The following is a 24,280-nucleotide window of genomic DNA, read 5'->3' as shown; positions in this document are numbered from 1 at the left end:
TAATCCTTTCTCTTCACCTACATTCAATCTGATAATGAGCAGACCTTTGAATTAACAGGGAGAATGGGCACTGAGAAAATGCTTTCAAGAGGGAAAACTTTGTAAACATTAACATCAACTATCTATTACAGCTCTTCCCAAAGCATTAGAATATATGCTATGGAATATTTCGGAGGAGATTTGCTATTGTTTGTTGGCTCTGGTGTTTCGCATTAGAAATACAAATTTGGGAAAATCAGTTAATCTCAGCTTCACATTATTTTATTTTAGAAATCAGTATACATGCCCTGTGGTTCTTATACGTTTCTATGAGAATTAAATGAAATACTATCTTTTTAAAAGCGTGTTGAAAACCGAAACCACTGCATAAGTGAAAAGCAATGTACTTACAGGAATACTTAGTACAAAACAAGATATCGCCTCAAATACTCTAGAACTTAGAGACTTAGGCCATATATACTCTCTTCCCACCCTCAATAACAAAAAAAGTCATGTTAATTAATTAAATTCATTTTTATCTTATTTTTATCCTAGCTAACATTTTAACATTAAATTTATTTTGTTACATAGCAAAATAGTATTTTCACCTATTCTACGTGCTACATAATATTCCGTGAGGAACTGTGATTTGCTTTGTTTTGGTTTGTGACATAAGTAAATGCGTAATGTGTCAGTCTTGTTTTACTGTGATTTTATTCTTGGATTCAGATTCTATATTTAAAAGTGTGACTTTGAATTTGAAAATGGACATATAGTATGCATCTTTACAAAATGAGTTATAATAACATTTTATACATCTGAAGGATTTACAATCCAATTTAAAAATAATTTCAATAAAGACTATTATTAAGTTAATGTGACTTAGACTATTTTCTGATGCTTACTATTAGTATACTTAATGTGTTTGTCCTTGAGCACTAAAAAGATTCCTTTCCTCTACCAAAATTCTTATTAAATATAAATGAAAATAACAGAACATATATAGTAACATAATAAAATATCCTATTTTAAAATTTAAACTTAAAATATAAGTGAGCTTTTATTTGTTATCACTACATTAAAAATTTGTTTCATTTAAAAGTAGTATCACTGGAAAAATCTCTGTAGAAGTCAATATTCTTAGGAGCAAAAGGAAATCAATCTGCTTATCTTAAGCGAAATTTATTGGAAGAATATTTAGTATCTCACATAACTGTCAGGAAGATGGGAGAATCAGACTTAGAAAATGAGCAGAAAACAAAAGAAGTCAGGATAGAGAACACAGTCAGGGTCACACCACAGGAACATTAGTTTGGGTTTTGCTATATGTCACCAACGCAGACTCTCAACTCCTCAGCTTTGAATAATGGCTAACTCTCCTAGGAAAAGAGAATGTCTAGAGTCCCTTGCTTTCTGTAAGAAGAGGTAGAGCTCTTATTTTCAGTAAAACAAAGGGCATTTCCTCTAAATAGGAGTTTGAATGCTCATCAGCCAAGAAAAAAAGGCACATGTTCCCTACAATCCACCCATTTGGCTGTCCAGCATGCGTATACACCTTTCTTCCCATAATTACTGTTTTTTAAAAAAATGTTCCAGCCTAACCTAATGCAAATCTTCACTATACAGCCAAAAAGGTGATCATCCTCTTCCCCAAAGGGTGATGATCCTAAGTTGATTTAGTTACCACACCTGGCTCCATTTCAAGGTCATGTTCATTTTTCCACTAGTTTAATTTATCCTATATCAGTATTATACAATTTGTGGACTCAATGATATAGTTAACCTATAAAAATAATAAAGGTAAGAGAGGAAAGAGAAAATTAGTTAAAATATATGAATATTTACAGAGAAAAAAAGGAAATATGAGTAGGCACTATAGTTCTTGTATTTTTGCAGCTGTTTTAATGCCAGAGCTGGCACTTAAGACTTTCCTTCTTTGTGTTCTCATTCCTTCAGATAGCACCACAAATGTTTTAAGGTCCCAAACCTTCATCTTAAGGAATCCAAAAGCATCACGGTTGTATCTGCATAGGGTTGCAGAAGTCTTCTGTTAACTTTTGTTTTCTATGGGAAATTTCAAACATATACAAGATTGGAGAGTTGTATAATGACCTGTGTATCAATCACCCAGCTTCACCAACCATCATAACCAATCTTGTTTCATCTCTACCTCCCACCCATCCACCCTCATAATTATGTTGAAGCAAATCTCGAACAACCTATCGTTTATTCATAATTATTTATATCTCTAAAAGATAAAGACTTTATGAGCATAACTACAGTACCACTATCTTAAATACACAAAAATTATCTATATTAAATATCCAGTCTGTGTTCAAATTTCCCTCTTCGTCTCATAAATCTCTCTTAAAAGCCAGTTTGTTTGAATCAAGATCCAGTTAGGTAACACACTATGTTGGTCACTGGTTCAGAGCATATACTGCATCCTTCAGGACAGCATACCACCCTCACAAGGTGGTGTATTGTAGCTGACGTCATAGAGTCTTCAACATGTTATGTTTTTATGGATGGTGGGTTACATAAGATGTGAATCTCATGGGCCTACACCAGTTGCATTCTTTGGTCATAGAATAAGTTCCTTGATAAGAAGCAATATTGTATAGAATACCATGGAGGTGTGTGAGGCATTCAATAATTCTAAGAATAGTAGTGCTAATAGAATGAGACTTTGGAAAAGCAAATCCAAAACCAAAACAGCTGTCTCTTCCAGTAAGACCAAATCACTCTTTCAAGATGAAAGAAGACCAGTGTAGTTGGCTGATGCCTCCAGGCTGTATATAGTACAAAAACAGAGAATCTTTCACATTGTGACCCTTAGTAGGAGGTATGTCTCTACATCACACAGTGGGAGCCTGAATCTAGAGATGCCTGGACATTCTTTCTCGCCTTCTACACAGCTTGGACACAGGCATGTGATCTCGGTTTGGCCATTCATATCATCCTACCTGAGACTACTACTTGTTCTTAATATAGTACCAGTTTTGAAACTCACATAAGTCAGTTAATGTAAATTTTGATTGCTGTTTTGTAGAGATCATCCTGATGTTCACAGATACAGTGTGGAGACTGTACAGTGGTATCCTCATGACACTGGCATGTTCACATCAAGCTCATTTGATAAAACTCTGAAAGTATGGGATACAAATACATTACAAGTAAGTACATTAAAACATTTGCAGATTGCTTTGTAGGATAAAGGAGAATTTAATCCTAAACCATTTTAGTATGATTATTTGCTGAGATGTCATATATGTTAGATGTGAAAGCAGTACAGTGGTTAAGAAGAGCTAGACTACTTGAGTTCATATCCTGGCTGTGCTGCTGACAGCTGTATGACATTGGGCAAATGTCCAAACCTCTGTGTGTCTTTCTCATCTGTAAATGGGAATAATGATTATAGTATGGTTGTGAGGATTAAATGAGCCAAAATATGTAAAGTACCTAGTACAGTACATAGCATATAGTAAATGCTCAAAAACTGTTAGCTAATATTATTATCCCTTTGTGAAAAATACTATGATCTAGTAATCTAAAGTAGAAAATTGGATTTATCTTTGATTGATCTAAAAACTTGAAGGAGAAAGCTGTTAATACTGTAGCTTAGTAAAGACAAGCAATGGATAATAGTTTGTATGACATTTGGTCAAATTTACATTCCGAGTGCTAATCTTTTCTCTGAGCTCTACTCTGATATGTCTCTACTTTTCTACAGTACCTCTATACTTAAATGTAGTGTCATCCCTTCAAACTTAACATGGTCCCAACTGAACATGATCACATCTCATTAAATTTAGTCATAAAATCTTAGCAATCCTTTCTTCAAACTCTCTCATACCTCTCTTTTCTATTTACCTTGCCTTTACTGCACATCTGGACTACTAAAATCACTGCCTTACCTTCTACATTTTCTACACTAAGTTCTACCCCAGAATTAATCTTATTATAAAGCAGTTTCATCATGTCACTACCCAAACCCTCTAGGGATTCCCATTGTCTAAACTCAGCCTGGCATTCCAAGTTCTCCATGACATCAACCCTTGTTCCTTCAATCCTATGTTCTACCAGTTTTCAACACAAATGCTTTGCTGCAACTAAACTGATCGTGTTTTGAATCTGTTGTATTCCCTACCTCAAGTCCCTTTCCCTTGCAACTCTTCCCTTCTCCTAAGGTCACATCTTTTTTTACAATTACATTGAGCCAAGACTGTAGATGCCAGAGTTCTAGTTCCATTCTGCCACTTATGAGATTTGTTGCTTTAGATAAGTCATTTAATTTGTTAGCAAAGGTCTCTTCAGCTATAAAATTAAAGTGTCAGACTAGATGGTGTCTAAGGTCCCTTTTAGTTCTATCATGCAGTTTAGTGATTTCAGCTTCTGGAGTAAATATTAACCATTATTTTACTTTATAGCACTATTTTCTGTATTCCTATTTCAATACATTCTCATACTACTTTATAATATCATTTTCATACTTGTTTGTCTTATTTGTTGTTCTAGATTGTTACTTCCCCAAAGAAAGTACTATGTCTTATACATTACTAAATTCAGTGCTATGTACAGTAACTGCTGAGTAAATGCTTTAGGGATGACTAACAATGTATGTAACTGGCCACATACTAAAAAGTAATAAAATCATGAAGTATATTATGATTCTAGTGAGCAAAACAAAACAGTGTTGTGTATATAAATGTAAATTTAATATACTTCTAATAATTCAAACTAAATAGATGTGTTTTTTTGACCTTGCTACATTAGAATAGTCCTATTATTTCAGATTTATTTTTATAATAAAGTATATTTATTTAAAATACATGTCATTGAAAATGAGAGTATATTTTAACAATTAAATGAATGTCATGACCTTTCACTTCTGACTATAATGGAATATCTTGTAGCCAAACCAGCACCTCCATTGAGAAAAGCTAGATAAAGCATAAACAGGCATCTAGTTGAGGGTTTTATAAAGCTGCCAAGAAATCTAGGAATTGAGAATCAGATCCTAGAGAGGGGAACACTTACAGAAATGCATTCAACTTTCCACACACTCTTTTTCTCTTTGGACATTTGTCATTAAAGTAAGGCAAGAGACTGAGAAGACAGGCATTGGATAGCTTCTAAGAGGCAGATAAATGAGTGGGACTTTAGTCAATTTCATAAAGCTAGAGAGACAGAAATTGGAATGTGGGCTGCCAAGACAGCCAGAAATTAAAGGGTCAAGATCACAGAAAGAAGAGAGATGCAGAGAAATCAGCCTAACATCTTGCACTGGTTTTTTCTTTGAGATATTTGCTGACCAAGCTATGCGAGACCATAGACTTAAGAAATGAAGCAGAAGACATTTGAAGAACAGCAATTTTCCCCAGTCACATGGTACTGGAGAGAAGAATTGCAGTGCAGTACTTGCTAAGTAGAAGGGGGCCTAGGAAAACACCCAGGCTCTTAGGGCACCTAGAGGGGAATACTCTAATAATGGGTACAAATAGGAGGTAGATGGAGCCTGTGGTAGGCAGCATCATGTCCCGCTCCCAGATGTCTATGTACTAATCTCTAGAACATACGAAGGGGAATTAAGGTTGCCAATCACCTGACCTCAAGACAGGGAGATAATACTGAATTATCCTAGTGGGCCCAATGTAATCATAAGAATCTTAAAAAATGGAAGTGGGAGGCAGAAGGAGACGGGGTAAATTTGACTGGGAGAATGGCCAGAGAAATGTAAAATTGCTAGCTTTGAAGATGGATTAAGGGGATCACAAGCCAAGAAATGTGGGTGGTCTCTGGAAGATGGAGAAAGTATTCTCTCCTAGAGCCTCCAAAAAGGAATGCAGCCTGTCAACACCTTGATTATAATCCATTGAGACCTATGTGAGAATTTTAACTTGTAGAACAGATTTATTACAGATAATAAATTTGTGTTATAAATTACTAAGTATGTGGTACTTACTAAGTACAGTAAGTACTTTCCTTACTGCATCAGTAGAAAATTATTACAGAACTCTACAATAGCAGACAAGCTTTATGTTTGAATTGATATGATCTTCCCTCTCCTACCTGCAAAAGAGAGATTGGATCTTCTCTAGAGGAGGATAACATAACGCAGAATCTCTCCCAATTTTTTCTATATAATTTCTAGCACTCAAAACAGAAACTTCCAAGCTTACCAACAAATGAGCTTAGGAGTAAAAACAGACAATAGAAGAAGACTGACATCTCCAGGCCTAGGTGCCTTTACGAGTAAGTTATTCTAAACACTTAAAAAAGAGATAATACCAATCTTATACAAATGCTTCAAGAGGAAAAAAAGGAACTTTTGTAAACTTTTTTTATGGGGCCAGCATATCCATGATTTCAAAATTTACAAGGACATTATATGGAAAATTACAAGCCAGTGTCTCTTACAAATATAAATAACAAAAATCCTAAATCAACTATTAATATGTAGAATCTAGCAACATACAAAAAGAATAATATATCATGAGTGGACAAAAAAGGTTGTTTTAACATCTATAAATCAACTAATGTAATTCATCATGTTAATAGAATGAAGGGGGAAAACTACATATTAGTCATCTCAATAGATACGAACATTTTGAAATAAAAGTCAATATCCTTTTTTTTTTTTTTTTTTTTAAGAGACAAGAGTCTTGCCCTGTTCCCCAAGCTAGAGTGCAGTGGCGCAATTATAACTCACTATAACCTCAAACTCCGGGCTCAAGGGATTCTCAGCTCAGGCTCCAAAGTAGTGAAGGCTACAGGTGTGCACCACCATCTCCGGCTAATTTTTTAACTTTTTGTAGAGGCAGTGTCTCTCTGTCTTGCCCAGGCTGGTGTCAAAATCTGGCCTCAAATGATCCTCCCACCTTGGCCTCTGAAAGTGTTGGGATTACAAGCATGAGCCACTGTGCCCATCCTCATTTTTAAAAATTCTCTGCATACTGACACACATAGGCTCAAAATAAAAGTATGGAGGAAGATCTACCAAGCAAATGGAAAGCAAAAAAAAAGCAGGGGTTGCAATCCTGGTCTCTGATAAAACAGACTTTAAACCAACAAAGATCAAAAGAGACAAAGAAGGCCATTACATAATGGTAAAGGGATCACAACAAGAAGAGCTACCTATCCTAAATATATATGCACCCAATAGAGGAGCACCCAGATTCATAAGCAAGTCCATACAGACCTACAAGGAGACTTAGACTCCCACACAATAATAATGGGAGACTTTAACACCCCACTCTCAACATTAGACAGATCAATGAGACTGAAGGTTAACAAGGATATCCAGGACTTGAAGTCAGCTCTGAACTAAGCAGACCTAATAGACATCTACAGAACTCTCCACCCCAAATCAACAGAATATACATTCTTCCCAGCACCACATTGCACTTATTCCAGAATTGACCACATAGTTGGAAGTAAAGCACTCCTCAGCAAATGTAAAAGAACACAAATCACAACAAACTCTCTCAGACCACAGTGAAATCAAATTAGAACTCAGGATTAAGAAACTAACTCAAAACCACACAACTGCGTGGGAACTGAACAACCTGCTCCTGAATAACTACTGGGTACATAACGAAATGAAGGCAGAAATAAAGATGTTCTTTGAAACCAATGAGAACAATGACACAATGTACCAGAATCTCTGGGACACATTTAAAGCAGTATATAGAGGGAAATTTATAGCACTAAATGCCCAGAAGAGAAAGCAGGAAAGATCTAAAATCGACACCCTAACATCCCAATTAAAAGAACTAGAGAAGCAAGAGCAAACAAATTCAAAAGTTAGCAGAAGCCAAGAAATAACTAAGATCAGAGTAGAACTGAAGGAAGTAGAGTCACCAAAAACCCTTCAAAAAATCAATGAATCCAGGAGCAGGTTTTTTGAAAAGGTCCACAAAACTGATAGACTGCTAGCAAGACTAATGAAGAAGAAAAGAGAGGAGAATCAAATAGACGCAATAAAAAATGATAAAGGGAATATCACCACCAATCCCACAGAAATACAAACTACCATCAGAGAATACAATAAACACCTCTATGCAAATCAGCTAGAAAATCTAGAAGAAATGGATAAATTCCTCGACACACACACCCTCCCAAGACTAAACCAGGAAGAAGTTGAATCTCTGAATAGACCAATAACAGGTTCTGAAATAGAGGCAATAATTAATAGCCTACCAACCAAAAAAAGTCCAGGACCAGACGGATTCACAACCGAATTCTACCAGAGGTACAAAGAGGAGCTGGTACCATTCTTTCTGAAACTATTCCAATCAATAGAAAAAGAAGGAATCCTCCCTAACTCATTTTATGAGGCCAGCATCATCCTGATAACAAAGCCTGGCAGAGACACAACAAAAAAAGAGAAATTTACACCAATATCCCAAATGAACATCGATCCGAAAATCCTCAATAAAATACTGGCAGACTGAATCCAACAGCACATCAAAAAGCTTATCCACCATGATCAAGTGGGCTTCATCCCTGGGATGCAAGGCTGGTTCAATATAGGCAAATCAATACACGTAATCCATCACATAAACAGAACCAATGACAAAAACCGCATGATTATCTCAATAGATGCAGAAAAGGCCTTTGACAAAATGCAACAGCCCTTCATGCCAAAAACTCTCAATAAACTAGGTATTGATAGAATGTATCTCAAAATAATAAGGGCTATTTATGACAAACCCACAGCCAATATCATACTGAATGGGCAAAAACTGGAAGCATTCCCTTTGAAAACTGGCACAAGACAGGGATGCCCTCTCTCACCACTCCTATTTAACATAGCGTTGGAAGTTCTGGCCAGGGCAATCAGGCAAGAGAAAGAGATAAAGGGTATTCAATTAGGAAAAGAGGAAGTCAAGTTCTCCCTGTTTGCAGATGACATGATTCTATATCTAGAAAACCCCATCGTCTGAGCCCAAAATCTCTTTAAGCTGATAAGCAACTTCAGCAAAGTCTCAGGATACAAAATCAACATGCAAAAATCACAAGCATTCCTATATACCAATAACAGACAAACAGAGACCCAAATCATGAGTAAACTACATTCTCAATTGCTACAAAGAGAATGAAATACCTAGAAGTCCAACTTACAAGGGATGTGAAGGACCTCTTCAAGGAGATCTACAAACCACTGCTCAATGAAATAAAAGAGGACACAAACAAATGGAAGAACATTCCATGCTTATGGATAGGAAGAATCAATATCGTGAAAATGGCCATACTGCCCAAGGTAATTTATAGATTGAATACCATCCCCATTAAGCTACCAATGACTTTCTTCACAGAATTGGAAAAAACTACTTTAAAGTTCATATGAAACCAAAAAAGAGCCCGCATTACCAAGACAATCCTAAGCCAAAAGAACAAAGCTGGAGGCATCACGCTACCTGACTTCAAACTGTACTACCAGGCTACAGTAAACAAAACAGCATGGTACTGGTACCAAAACAGAGATATAGACCTATGGAACAGAACAGAGGCCTCAGAAATAACACCACACATCTACAACCATCCAATCTTTGACAAACCTGACAAAAACAAGAAATGGGGAAAGGATTCCCTATTTAATAAATGGTGCTGGGAAAACTGGCTAGCCATATGTAGAAAGCTGAAACTGGATCCCTTCCTTAACACCTTATACAAAAATTAATTCAAGATGGATTAAAGACTTAAATGTTAGACCTAAAACCATAAAAACCCCAGAAGAAAACCTAGGCAGTACCATTCAGGACATAGGTATGGGCAAGGACTTCATGTCTAAAACACCAAAAGCAATGGCAACAAAAGTCAAAATTGACAAGTGGGATCTAATTAAACTAAAGAGCTTCTGCACAGCAAAAGAAACTACCATTAAGTGAACATGCAACCTACAGAATGGGAGAAAATTTTTGCAATCTACCCATCTGACAAAGGGCTAATATCCAGAGTCTACAAAGAACTTAAACAAATTTACAAGAAAAAAAAAAACCCATCAAAAAGTAGGCAAAGCATATGAAGAGACACTTCTCAAAGAAGACATTTATGCAGCCAACAGACACATGAAAAAATCTCGTCATCACTCGTCATCAGAGAAATGCAAATCAAAACCACAGTGTGATACCATCTCACACCAGTTAGGATGGCGATTATTAAAAAGTCAGGACACAACAGATGCTGGAGAGTATGTGGAGAAATAGGGGGAGAATGTGGAGAAGTAGGGGGAGGGATAGCATTAGGAGAAATACCTAATGTAAATGATGAGTTAATGGGTGCAGCAAACCAACATGGCACATATATACCTATGTAACAAACCTGCACGTTGTCACATGTACCCTAGAACTTAAAAGTATAATTAAAAAATATATAAAAATAAAAATAAAATTCTCTGCATACTAGGAATAGAAGAGAAATTCCTTAATTTGATACAAAGTATCTATTTTTTTAAAAAACTAAAGCAACCATTTTATTTGGTGGTAAAATGTTGAAAGCTTTCCCTTTGCATTATCCTCATTATTTCCTCTGTTCAACATTGTACTGAATGTCCTAGTCAGTGCAATAAAGCAAAGGAAATAAAAGGGATAGGAACTGGACAGGAAGCATTTAAACTGTCATTCACAGAAGACATGATTATGAACGTAGAAAATTCAAAAGAATCTATAGCCAAATTATTAGAATTAATATAAGTAAATTTAGCAAATTTGCTGGATACAAGGTAAATTATATTTCTGAATTCCAAACACAAGCGATTATAAAATGAAATTTCAAAACCAACATTGTTTACCATAGCATCAAAAATCATCATATACCTAGTAATATATTTAATGAAAAATATACAAGACTATTCCGAATACACAGAGAACTTTAGAACATTATTGAGAGAAATTAAGACCTAAATAAATGTGGGGTATTCCATGTTCAAGAATTAAAAGGTTCAGTGTGATAAAAATATCAGTTCTACCCAAACTGATCTATAGAATCAATGCATTTTCTATCAGACTCTTAGAAGATTTCTTTTTTTGAAAATTGACTAGCTAATTCTAATGTTCATATGGAAATGCAAAACAGCAGGGCACTCTTGAAACAAAAGAGTGAAGTTGGAAGACTTCACTATCAGATATCAAGACTTGCTATAAAGTTATACTAGTGAAGGCAATGTGATATTGGTAAGTAAAAAAGAAAAACACCATACAGTGGAACTGGATAATCAAGAAATGTACCCGTTGATGACATTAATTTGATTTATGATAATACAGGTAACCCTTGAATAGTGTGGAGGTTAGGGAAGCTGACCCCCATCACAGTTGAAAATCTATGTATAATTTTTGATTACCCCAAAAGCTTAACTACTAATAGCCTAGTGTTAATTGGTAGCCTTCTGGATTACATAAACAGTCAATTAACACAACTTTGTATGTTATATGTAATACATACTGTATTCTTTTATTATTATTATTTTTTTTTTTTTCTAGACGGAGTCTCGCTCTGTCACCCATGCTGGAGTGCAGTGGCCAGTGGCGCAATCTCAGCTCACTGCAACCTCCCCGTCCTGAGTTCAAGTGATTCTCCTGCCTCAGCCTCCCGAGTATCTGGGACTACAGGCGTGTGTCACCATGCCTGGCTAATTTTTGTATTTTTAGTAGAGACAGGGTTTCGCCATGTTGGCCAGGCTGGTCTGGAACTCCTGACCTCCGTTGATCCACCCACCTCGGCCTCTCAAAGTGTTGGGATTACAGGCGTGAGCCACCATGCCCGGCCTATATACTGCGTTGTTACAATAAAGTAAGCTAGAGAAAAGAAAATGTTATTAAGAAAATCATGAGGAAGAGAAATATATTTACTACTAAGTCAGTGGAAGTGGATCATCATAAAGGTCTTTATCCTCATCATCTTCACATTGAGTAGGCTGAGGAGAAGGAGCAGGAGGAGGAGGAGTTGACCTTGCTGTCTCTAGGGTAGCAAAAGGTGTAAGATTTGGAAGGAGAGGCAGCCACACTTGGTATAACTATGGAAATACATCGTAATTTTTGTGTGTTCTGCTGTATTTCTCTAAAAATGTTTCTATTACAGTACTGAACCTTCTTCCACTATTTGCTTTAGTTTCAGAGCCCATATCATTGAAGGGTCCATGTCATAAGAGTCCTTTGTGGCTTTTTTTTTTTTTTTTTTTTTTTTTTTTTTTTTTTCAGAATAGGGCATTTTTGTCTGCATTTAAAACTTGTTCAGGCAGATATCCTTTGTCCTCGATGATTTTCTTAATGGTATCTGGAAACTCATCTGCTGCCTTTTGGTGGGCAGAAGCTTCTCATCCTATTATCTTGACTTTTTTAAAGCCAAAACTTTCCAAAAATTATCAAACCATCTTTATCTGGCATTCAATTCTCCAGCTTTAGATCCTTCACCTTCCTTTGGCTTCACATTGTCATATAATGACTATACTGACTTTGCTTTTTAAAAGTCATATTAGAGTCTACATATAGATACGCCTTTCTGTTAACAATCCTGCACCCACATAAAAGATGGATTTTCAATAAGAGGTCAAAGGTATTTCACAAAACATACAAGGTTTTCACACCTGCTGGCGTAGCTGCAGTGACAGCATCACAAATTTTCTTTTTTCATAATGGTTCTTATGCTGGACTCATTTATCTTGAAATGGTGGGCAACCACAGCTGCACACTTCAGTCTATGGTACATGTCAAGCAATTCAGCCTTTTTTTATAATGTCATGACTTTTCTCTGCTTCTTGGTACCACTTGCAGCATCACTAGTGACACTTCGTATGGGTTCCAAGGTGTATGATAATGTGAATTGTATCTTGACAAAGCCATTATTTAAAAAAAAAATATATATATATATATATATGTATTTATATGAATGACCCCCAGGTTCTCTGGCTTGACAATTGGGTGGATTATATTGTTATTTTGTTATTTAGTAAGATGGGGAAGGGTTGGAATGATGAGTTCAATTTTCGATTTGTTGAGTTTGAGGGATTTACAGGAAATCCAAATGAAGATAATCCAGGAATCGATCTATACATACCCAGAATTCAGGAGTGAGGTCTACACTGAATATACAGATTTGTGCCTCACTATGTACTGAGTGTCCCTAATCCAGAAGTTCAAAATTTGAAATTTTTTGAGTTCTAGATTTGTAATGCTCAACCTTGTAAGTATAATGCAAACCTTCCAAACCAAAAAAAAAAAAATCTGAACTCTGAAACATTTCTGGTCCCAGTTACTTTGGATAAGGGATACTTAACCCATAACATACAAGTGGCATTTGAAAGGAGTACATAGAACAAGACCATGAAGACAAAGATAAATAGGACAGAAAAATGAAAGCAAAGTCTGCTAAAGGTGATGAAAAGATGTAGCCAAGGAGAGAAAGAGGAAAATCAGGAATATATGATACAATGGAAGCCTGTAAAAGATTGCTTTAAAGAGGATGGGAGTAATCAATTGTGTTGAATGCTACTGACAGATTAAATCAGATGAGGAACATATTGGTAATATTGGAAGAATAGTGTGATTTACAGTAGTGCGATAAAAATAAGATTGCAATTAGTTGAGAAATACGTGGGAGATAAGGAATTAGAGATAGCCAAAGTTTGGATTTGAAGAGGAGGAAAGATTAGGGAGAATGTAGGGCGAAAATGCTCTTTGTTTTTTTTGTCTTAGGGAAGCGGTGTTAAGATGAAAAAGACTTTCACTTGTAGTGCTGTTGGGAATGAGCCAGTGGGGACAGAGGTTATAGATACCCAGAAGATAATCTATAGGGTGAGATTTCTGACAGTGCTGAAGGGAATCTGAACACAAGTAGGGGGATTGACATTAAAAATGGGGAGGAATCTCAAGACCAGCCTGGCCAATATGGTGAAACCTCATCTCTACTAAAAATACAAAAATTAGCCGGGCATGGTGGCGGGCACCTGTAGTCCCAGCTACTCGGGAGGCTGACACAGGAGAATCGCTTGAACCCGGGAGGCGGAGGTTGCAGTGAGCCAAGATCGTGCCACTGCACACCAGCCTGGGCAACAGAGCGACTCCATCTCAAAAAAAAAAAAAAAAAGAATCATGTTTCTATGATAACAGGAGTGAAGAAGGAAAAAGGATAAGTGGAAGCAAATGTGTTTGTAGGTTTGTTGGTAAGACATTAAGGAAATTCTGATTGACTGCCTCCTATTTTCTCCTTGAAATAAAAGATCAAATTACCTGTTGTGACTGAGTTGGTATATTTGTGGAGAAGATTTGAAATAGCTGAGGAATACTGCAGAGAAGAATACAAGTGAAATATAGTGGGACTGGCAGTCATTACTGAAATCCAGAGGAAATGAATAATCTTTTATGGTGATGTCACACTGCCCTAATTATAAGATTTTTTACCTGAGGAGAGCAAGGGATTGGCTAAGTCTGGGCTCATGGGCAAGTCTGGCTCATGGCCTTTTTTTGTAAATAAAGTAGGTTTTGGACACAAATATTGAAACTGCCTTTGCAAAACTTATATCAGTGAGAAAACTGTGGCAGTAGGGGAGATCTGATCTAGCCACCACCCCCTCTTGCCTTTAGCCTTCAAGCTGCCTTAATTATTGCTGGGCTTTGGCCAAGCTAACTTTGGAAGACATTTAGTTAATACTCTATTTTTTTTATTTTATGTATGTATTTGTTTATTTATTTATTTATTTATTTATTTATTTTTGAGACAGAGTTTTGCTCCGTTGCCCAGGCTGTAGTGTAGTGGCGTGATCTTAGCTCACTGCAACCTCTGCCTCCCGGGTTCAAGCGATTCTCCTGCCTCAGCCTCTCATATAGCTGGGATTACAGGCGCCTGCCACCACGCCCAGCTAATTTTTATATTTTAAGTAGAGACGGAGTTTCACCATGTTGGCCAGGCTTGTCTCAAACTCCTGACCTCAAGTGATCCGCCTGCCTCGGCCTCCCAAAGTACTGGGATTACAGGGGTGAGCCACTGCCCCCAGCCATTTATAGTTTAAATGATAATAGCCCTTCTCCAAAACTCAACCACCTTTGTAAAGCTAATGAGAGACCACCAGACTAGGAGGAGGAGACAAGCCTGAATTCTGCTAAAACATAGGCCCAGCAGTGGCTCACACCTGTAATCCCAACACTTTGGGAAGCCAAGGAGGGTGGATTGCTTGAGCTCAGGAGTTCGAGACCAGCCTGGGCAACATGGCAAAACCCCATCTCTACCAAAAATACAAAAATTAGCCAGTCTCATAACCTGGTCTCATAAATAAATAAATAAAGAGACATAAATGATTGCCAGCCATTATTCCGGAGGCACAAGATATATAACTTCCCCAATTACTCCTGCATATAACATCACAACTGTAGAACCTGAGATTGGCCTTTTGAGATATCTTTTCAGGATTTTTTCATGTCTGACACCAGGGGCTCCACCTGGACCTGCCAACTGCCCCTGTGGCCCCACCCAGAAGTGGCTTAGTGCACAAGAGGACCATTCCCCACACCCTTATGATTGCACCCCCAACCAATCAATAGCAAGCATCTATTCATCATCTAACCACTCCCACCCCTTCCCCCAAACTACCTTTGAAAAACCCCAAACCTACAAGACTTCAAGGAGGTTGATTAGAGTAATATTAATAAATCCCATCTCGCACTTGGCCTGGCCAGCCTTGCATCAGTTAAACTCTTTACTACAATGCCATGGTTTTTGTGAATTGATTTTGTTTGTGCAGCAGGCAGGAAGAACCTGGTGAGCAGTTACAATATGTTCATTTGTTGTCTATGACTGCTTTAACACTGCAGTGACAGAGATGAGTAGTTGGTCCTGAAAGCCTAAAATATTTACCATCTGACTTTTAAAGAAAGTTTGCCAACACCTGGTGTAGATCAATTTGGATATAAGTACAGAGAAGGCAGACATTTGGGGTCACCCAGGGTGAAGTCTTGACAAGTGGAAGGATGTTAGCAAAGGAATTGCAGATATTGGCAGTTGACCTTGGTATTGGTATTGGACCTTGAAATCCAAGCTGGAGAGGAAGAGAAGTAGATGAAAGGAACTGTTAGGGGTTCCAGAGTTTATTCAGATTTCTTGAGAGTATTTGGAGGGGGAAAAGCTGAAAATGGTAGAAGATTGTGGTCATAGATAACTGAAATGTATGATTTCAAAGAAGGGGCAATTCTAGGTAGTGACAGCGTCCTGGGTGTGGTAGCTCAGGTTATACGGAACTGAGAGGCAGTGCTGGCTACATCATCCATGTAGATGCTGAGCCCCCTCCCCACCAGGGTGGGTGGAGAGGAATATGGTGAGCCACAGGCTTATATTTTCTTAATTTCTGGGATTTATTGGGAAAACATATTTTTTTTCATAGAAGGGAAAAGAATGTTGTAAATGACAGGATTTCAAATTATCAAGGTTTTTTGGGGTATTACATTCCTATGTTTAAGTTGAATTGCTAACAGTCAATTTAAAAATAGCTAAAAATTTAGGAAAAAGTAAATAGAAAATTTATTGCTTTGTTTTTATACTTAAACCTTATACTTTTTAAATGTCTTTTGATTACCAGACTGCAGATGTATTTAATTTTGAGGAAACAGTTTATAGTCATCATATGTCTCCAGTCTCCACCAAGCACTGTTTGGTAGCAGGTTTGTAAGTGTATTCTTTTGTCTTTTGACATACTGAAAACTTTCTCCCTTTTTATATGTAGTTAGTTTTGATGTAGACATTTTAACCCAGAGGAATATCACAATTTTATATATATATATATATATATATATATATATATATATATATATATATATACACACACACACACTATATATATTCAACAGATATTGTACTATTTATATTCAACAGATATTTTGCAAGGCAAGCACTATGCTGTGGCCAGGATTCAGAGAATAAGAGCGTATTTCTGTCTAAAGAGTTCCTTTTAAACCACCAAAGTTTCAGAGATTTTACATGAATAAAATTTGGCAACTTTCCCAATTTGACACAATAAAACAAGGAAATTCTTTCTTTCTCTAAGATTGTGATTCAAATTAAGCATCAATTTATATAAAAGCACCTGCAACAAACATCTTCATATATAAGGAAGAAAAAATGATTTTCTGGTATCAGGTATCTGGGCCCTGTGATTCATTATTTCTTTGGCACCATGTGAGTCTCTACCTCTTTTATCTGTGAAGAAGAGCTAGGAACTAAGTTGTCTTGAGGTCCTTTCAGTCTGTGTCCAGTTTCTGTGAATCTGTTACTAGTGATTGGAAGTATATCATTAACTTGGAAAAACTAAGCTATTAAAATACAATGATTTGATGTGATAAAATGGAATAGAACTGTACATACATACATACACATTTACCAATACAAATTTCCTGGGTTTGATACTGTGTTTTAGTTACCTCACACATAATCGTTGGGGAAACTTAGTGAAGGGTACACGGTTCTCTTTATACTAGCTTTGCAACTGCTTGCAAATCTATAATTATTTCAGAATAAAAAATAAATGTAATAATAGAGGTCTCTTACTACTAAAATATAACTGTAGTTAAAATAACTTTTCTAAATGTAAACATTAAAAATGACAATGTAATTTTGGCATATATCTTCATATTTCTGCATGGATACAGTGAAAATGTCATGATTACTAATGATAATGTCTTGTTTCCTTTTGATGATGACTTATGATAAAATTATCTTAAACCGGTTCTGTTTTTACAGTTGGTACTAGAGGACCCAAAGTACAACTTTGTGACTTGAAGTCTGGATCCTGTTCTCACATTCTACAGGGTATTTTTATTTTATTTCAAACGGCAACTACTTTGAGTAAACGATTCAATAAAAAGAAACGTTACTAACAGTGTATTCTTTGTAAGTGACATGACTAATGTACTTTGTGCTGGTTGTTGAGACTCAGCAGGGAAATAAAGATCCTTCTGTGCATTATTCTTATAAAACTGAACCATTGAAAACACATTTATATGAACAATGATCATTGGGGAAGCTCAAACAATATGAAAAATAGTTCTAACTCAAAACCTTGTGTTATTTCTACATTAAAAAGACTAATGCAACTCACATCAGTGTACTTGTCTCATATGTATTATTTAATATTCTGGCTAATGAGTAAACATTGTTCTTAATATTTAGGTACATTTTTTCTCAGTAAAAATATTTTAGAAAAATATATTGAAGTAATTCTTTGGTAAAGGTGTATTTAAATTATTCTTGCTACTTTTATCAGTATTAGATTGTCTAATTCTAAACAATGAAAAGATAGAATATAATTTATATATTTTGACTGATCTCAAAGAAACACATAACAAATATGTTAAGAAAAGTTGATGAGATAGATAGCATTTTTTGACATTATTATGAATTTTTATTAATATAAGCTGGGCAGGTGGAAATGTCTGATGTGAATAGTTCAGTTAGCTAAAAGTGAATTAAAATATTGAAATCACCCTTTGAACTTATCACCTGTGCTTTCTAGAAAAAAACATTTTATATAAATGCTTTTCTACAAGCATGAGTTAAAGTAGGTTTCTCTTATAACTTTATGAGAAATTGGAAAACATTTTTATCCTTTAAAATGTTTATCTTATATGTTTTATTACAGTAATTGAGCTTGAGTTATATGGATTTACTGACATAAGCTAACAACTGTATTTAAAAAGAAAGACTTACTTAACTCTGTTTTTTCCAAAGCAAAACCAGTTCTTTTACAATAAAATACCATATGTTTGAAATACCCCTGTAAACTTCACATTAGCATTGAAACATCGATTATTATAAATCTGAAAAATGGTCATATCTATTCACATTGAATATTTGGCCTCACTTTCTTCAGAATCAGGCAAAATTATTGGCACTTTATCTTCTGATTTTTCAGATATCTTGCAAGACTTTTCATATAGTTGTATTTGCAGGTCACAGACAAGAAATATTAGCAGTTTCCTGGTCTCCACGTTATGACTATATCTTGGCAACAGCAAGGTAAAATTTAACTTATTTGCTTTTGAAGTTAGTAATTAATAATAAGCATTTTGAAAAGTCTACATTTATGTAATGTATATATTTTAGCATATTTAATTATTAATTCACTCCTTTAAAATGAAGTATTGACTTAGAAATTTTAATTCATGTCACCAAAAGAAATCTTCCTTTGTATTCTAATTCTAATCCTATCCACCTTCAAGGTGTTTCACCTTAGAACACAGAGGAACTGTGTTGTGTCATTCTTACACACAAATGTATAACACAGTGCTAATTTTTAAATAGAGCATTTTTATTCATTATCTTTAACCTGGAGTTATTTTGAATTTGATGTAACATATCCACACATTCATTGATTCAATTTTCTAATATTTAATGACTTCCTCCCACGTGCCAAGCATTGTGCTAGGGACACAGAGGTAACCAAGGCTTTGAAAAACCAACAATCTAATGATCTAATGAGGCATATAGTCAAAAATCAGTGATTACAGGGCATCCAGAAAAATGCTTTAATAGAGGTACATCTCTGGTAGGTGTAATATAGGAAAAGAAAGCAGGATCACTTAACTCTGAGAGGATCAAAAGATGTGGGGAGGTTTATTTTTTGCTGGAGAAAAAGAGTATTGCATATTTATCTGCTGGGGAAAGAGTACCAGTAGAGAGAAACAGGTGAAGATAAGAAATGGAGGGAATAATTGGTGCATTAGGTCCTTGAATACACAGAAGTGGGTAGTATCAAGGATCCAGATGAGGGTGGAGGGTACACCTAGTTTGGCACATGAAGAGCACTGTGAGACTAAATGGAAAGAGGAAAAGGTGGACATGAATACAGTTAACTTTGTAGCTTTGGCAGAGAAGCTCAAGAAACTCAGACTTAACGGCTTCTCTTGGTTTTTAGTGGAGTAGAACTTGATGTCATCTCTTGAAAATATAGGAATGAGGATGCAATTTTGAGGAAAGATAGTATGGATCTGGAATAATAGATTGAAAGAGTGAGGGAGCTGATTAAGGGCCCATAGGATTACTGGGCACTTGCTCCCTGTTGAATATGTAGAGCACAGCTGTACTAAGCCACAGAAATTAAAACATTAAATGAAAGAGACTTAACAATTTTCGGTGTCTACAGGAAAGTACCTAGGTGCCTGAAAATTGTAGAAGTCATGGGTAAAAGGAAAAAAATCACAAAAAGGCTTGTAGGAGGGATCAAGGATCTAATGAAGTAGAAGTATGAGAGTTAGACTAAGAAAATTTAAAAACTGAAGGGATAGGAAGTAGTAATCAAATATTTTTATATATTTTCATAAAACTTTAAGTAGAAGAAGAATTATTACGAAAGCTATTCATATTAATTTTATAAAGATCTGTGTCTGGATTTTTTTTTAAGTTGCCAGCCCTGTCTCCCTGTCACAGTTCAGGCCCCAAAGAAGCTTCTGTTAATAACTGGCAGAATGTGATGTTGAAATTTATGATTTCTGAAGTGCAGCAAGGTCTAGAATGTAGCCATAAGAAGGCTAGCTGAAGAGGTATGAAGGTTAGGAGCTAGGTGCTGGTTATGCTTGGGTGGATTTTACATTTTTCATGCTTAACTTGGTTTTCATCAGATAAGAGGAGAGCTAAGAAGCTTTCAATTATAAGAATACTCCAGGAATTTGAATCAGTACCACAATGGACCTAGTAATCAGTGTTAAAAGTTGGATATGTTCAAATCTAATCTGTTTCAGAAGAGACTTAAATCCTCATACTGATTTCATTTCCTTCACCTGGAAAGAAAGAAAACCAACTTAAGAATGGGTAATGCTAGTTTTTTGCTAACTATTCCAGTTGGCTAGGTTTGATGGTCATCTGTGAAAAGAATCGAGGTTATAGAAACCAGTAAACCTTGTGTGTATATTTTTTTAAAAAAATTAAATAAAAAATAGGCTTATAAAAATGTAATGCTCTCTCTTATTAAAATGGCATTGATAAGCCCCCTGGGTTACAATATTGTTGAGGTCCTTGTGAGGACATGATAGCATCAGTTGAACTGATTAGGAGCACGTCGGATTGCCAGGCATTTTTCTTTAGAAATAATCTAGAAGCTGAAATAGATGTCTGATCATAGATTTGCCTTTCTTCTTTTTGCTTACTTGAAAGAAAATGAAAGTAAGTGTCTAATTTCTAGGAGACATTAAATATAGTTCTCATATATCTGGCAAAGATTGATTTGAGTATAGGAAACCAAATGGAAATGCATTGTCCTCATTATTCACCTTACACTTACCGTTTTTTATATAAAAAGGAAAAAAACACCAAATCATACCAAATGGATTCTTGAGCAAAGTGAAATTAGTTAATTGCTTGTCTTGACAGCATTTGGATAACAAGCAGTAGAAAAGGTATGGTAAGGAACTTACTTGGAACAAGCTACAAGCCTTTCTGGTCCTTGGGAGAAAAGATGCTCATGTAATTTAAAACAATATAAAAAGCAGCAAAATTTTGTTCTTGTTATCTGGAAAAGAAAGGTTACTTTTTTTTTTTGCTATTTACTCACTTATTTGAGCTACTGTTGACTATTGAATATTTGCTGAAAAGGCAAAAGTTCAACAACCCTAATGTATGAATACATATGTACCTATATAACGAGACCTCTGTGTGCCATAAAATTAGAAAGGTGGGTGAGGGGTACAGTCATTGTCCTAGCTACATATGTCAATGTAACATTTATTTCTTCTCAGTGCTGACAGTAGAGTAAAATTATGGGATGTGAGAAGAGCATCAGGATGTTTGATTACTCTTGATCAACATAATGGGAAAAAGTCACAAGCTGTTGAATCAGGTAAGGAAGAACGCATTAATAAATATGACAATGATAGTATTTTTTTACATTGAAAATTTTTAATTGAAGCCACATAATAAACGCATATTGACAAATTGCAAACTTTATGATTTTTCAAAAGGCATTCATCGTATATCACTTTCTTAATTTACATAAACTAAATTATGATTCTCTTTCTTTAAGATACAAATAAAAATGGCAGTTTCATTTGCCCCCAAATTTTCAAAAGTAGAAATTTTTGTGAATTAACTTGCTTTACTTGTTTTGTTTTTGCTCCATTGAGGCCAACTATACATATTCAATGCCATTTAAAAAGTCACAATAAATTACAGAAATAGTAACATTTTGTGGCCATTGTATCAACATAAAATTGTGTTAAATGTGAGTCAGCTGCAATCCATGTGACAAAGTACCTAAACTGCATTTTTACAGTAGAATTTAATTCCTGTGTAGAAATTTTGATAGAGAATTAATTCTGGACCAGAAATATATTAGAATGAACTATATAAAACCTATAATTGTTTTATGTAATTTCTTAACAACTATAGTTTTATGTAGTTTCTACATAAAACTATATAAAACAATCACAAAGTTTAAAAACTATATAAAACAATCATAGGTTTTATATAGTTCATTCTAATATATTTCATATATTAGAATTTATATAGTTTTTTAAAAAACCTTATGAAACATGTAAACTATATAAAACATGTTTTATATGTTTTTAAATTAATTAGGCTATTTTAGAATTATGCTTTCTCAAACTTGTTAATTTTGTAAGTGATATAAATTTTGAGACTACAACAGTCATCCTTTCCCTGTTTTTTTTTTCAATGGAAAACACTAGAATTATTGATTTTAATAGTCCATAGAATGATTTTTAGGTTAGCAATAAAAATATATGAGAGATGAAAGGCATTTAATTTTAAATTTTAGTGTTAAGCTACACATTTAATTGAATTTCATGGCACAATTTCCTTGCTGGAAAAGAAAAGTATGTTAGGCAGAAATTTTTTCCCTTTTTTTTTTGTTTTCCTCTATTTTTATGGTTCTGATTTATATAGCTTATCCTATTCAAATAATCTGAAGGGTTGGTTAAGTATAATCTACTTACATTTTTTAAGTAACTCAAGTAGTTGTCCTTTAATATGTTTAATTATATCATCAAACATTAAATATGTCCTGAATACAAGAACAGATAAACTGAACTATGTTTTTCATTGCAGCAAACACTGCTCATAATGGGAAAGTTAATGGCTTATGTTTTACAAGTGATGGACTTCACCTCCTCACTGTTGGTACAGATAATCGAATGAGGCTCTGGAATAGTTCCAATGGAGAAAACACACTTGTAAGAGATTTTTAAGTATATATTTGGGTATAAATTAAGAAATGGATCTGTGACATACACTTGATTTTTTTATATATTTAACTCATTTATTCCCTTTTAATCACAGCTGTTTTTAAAAATGTGTTTCTACTATGTGGACTAGTAATTCTCAACTCAGGACAACCCACCCTTACCCACTACCTACCACATTCTCCCTACTTAGCAGAGAATCACTGTTCTACTGAGCCACTGTTCTCAATGGGAGTGCAAAGCGTAGTAGAGAAAAATAAAAGACTGAGGACTACTGATATAAATTAAAGATATGAAGCTAAGTAATCAAATTTTATATAGGTTGAGTATCCCTAATCTGAAAATCTGAAATCTGAAATGTTCCAAAATCTGAAACTTTTTGAGTGCTAGCATGACACACAAAGGAAGTGCTCATTGGAACATTTCAGATTTTGAATATTCAGATTAGGGATGTTCAGGCAGTAAAGCAAATATTCTAAAATCCAAAATACTTCTAGTCCAAATCATTTTGGATGGGGATACTTAACCTGTACTATATATGACTTATAAACAAAATTTACAGTGAATTTTATAGTACCAGAATATGTAGTACTTTATTTAATACTACTGCAATAAATATATTTCGAAGGTGCTATATTCTTATGTGGCTATTAATTTCTAGTACTTGTTTTTATGTAGGTTATAGTCTTATCAGATATGCCTATGGTTTAATAATTTTCAGAACAAACTACTAAAAGCTTATAATTTGGTGATAATAATAATAGCTAATATTTATTGAGAGCTTGTATGTCAGATACTGTGCTAATAATAATTAGCATTTAATTTGCCAGGCAGTATTAGACAGCAGTTGGCAAAACATGGAAAAGTCCTATCCTCATGGAGCTTACATTTCAGCAAGAGTATGAAAGGCATCAATCAATTAATAGATGGACAGATGGATAAATTATATATTAGATTAGGTAAGGACTATGAAGAAAAGCAAAGCAAAGAAAGGATCACAGGAAATACTGGGACGTTGGAGTTGCTGTTTCACATAGGGAAGTCAGGGTAGGCTTCACTAAGGTGACATTTGGCCTGAAGGAAATGGGGAAGTGGCTCATCAGTTGTTTGCTGGGGGATATCATTCT

The 24,280-nt window shown here is 35.1% G+C and overlaps 1 protein-coding gene and 1 long non-coding RNA gene across 5 annotated transcripts in view; one reads left to right on the top strand and one right to left on the bottom strand.

The window, feature by feature from the left end:
* The window catches only part of ERCC8 (ERCC excision repair 8, CSA ubiquitin ligase complex subunit), a 78,617-nt gene that overhangs the window by 23,651 nt on the left and 30,686 nt on the right, over window positions 1-24,280 (top strand). For 2 of the 4 annotated variants that reach the window (NM_000082.4, NM_001007233.3), the window contains 6 exons: window positions 3,032-3,155; window positions 16,547-16,628; window positions 17,704-17,772; window positions 18,912-18,978; window positions 21,693-21,793; window positions 23,020-23,144. In NM_000082.4, coding sequence (NP_000073.1) covers window positions 3,032-3,155; window positions 16,547-16,628; window positions 17,704-17,772; window positions 18,912-18,978; window positions 21,693-21,793; window positions 23,020-23,144 — 568 coding nt within the window. Of the gene's footprint in view, window positions 1-3,031; window positions 3,156-16,546; window positions 16,629-17,703; window positions 18,061-18,911; window positions 18,979-21,692; window positions 21,794-23,019; window positions 23,145-24,280 lie in introns of those variants that run through there. The other 2 variants (NM_001290285.2, NM_001007234.3) reach the window with 2 other exon arrangements.
* ERCC8-AS1 (ERCC8 antisense RNA 1) lies at window positions 1,847-4,231 on the bottom strand. Its single transcript, NR_183288.1, has 3 exons — window positions 3,853-4,231; window positions 2,993-3,125; window positions 1,847-2,043 (listed from the first exon to the last, which is right to left on the bottom strand). It is a non-coding gene; the product is annotated as an ERCC8 antisense RNA 1 (long non-coding RNA).

The sequence above is a fragment of the Homo sapiens genome, chromosome 5 (assembly GCF_000001405.40).
Source record: "Homo sapiens chromosome 5, GRCh38.p14 Primary Assembly".
Classification (NCBI taxonomy): Eukaryota; Metazoa; Chordata; class Mammalia; order Primates; family Hominidae; genus Homo; species Homo sapiens.
Note: the sequence above shows the minus strand (reverse complement) of the source record. Positions and strands in the feature narration are given on the sequence as shown.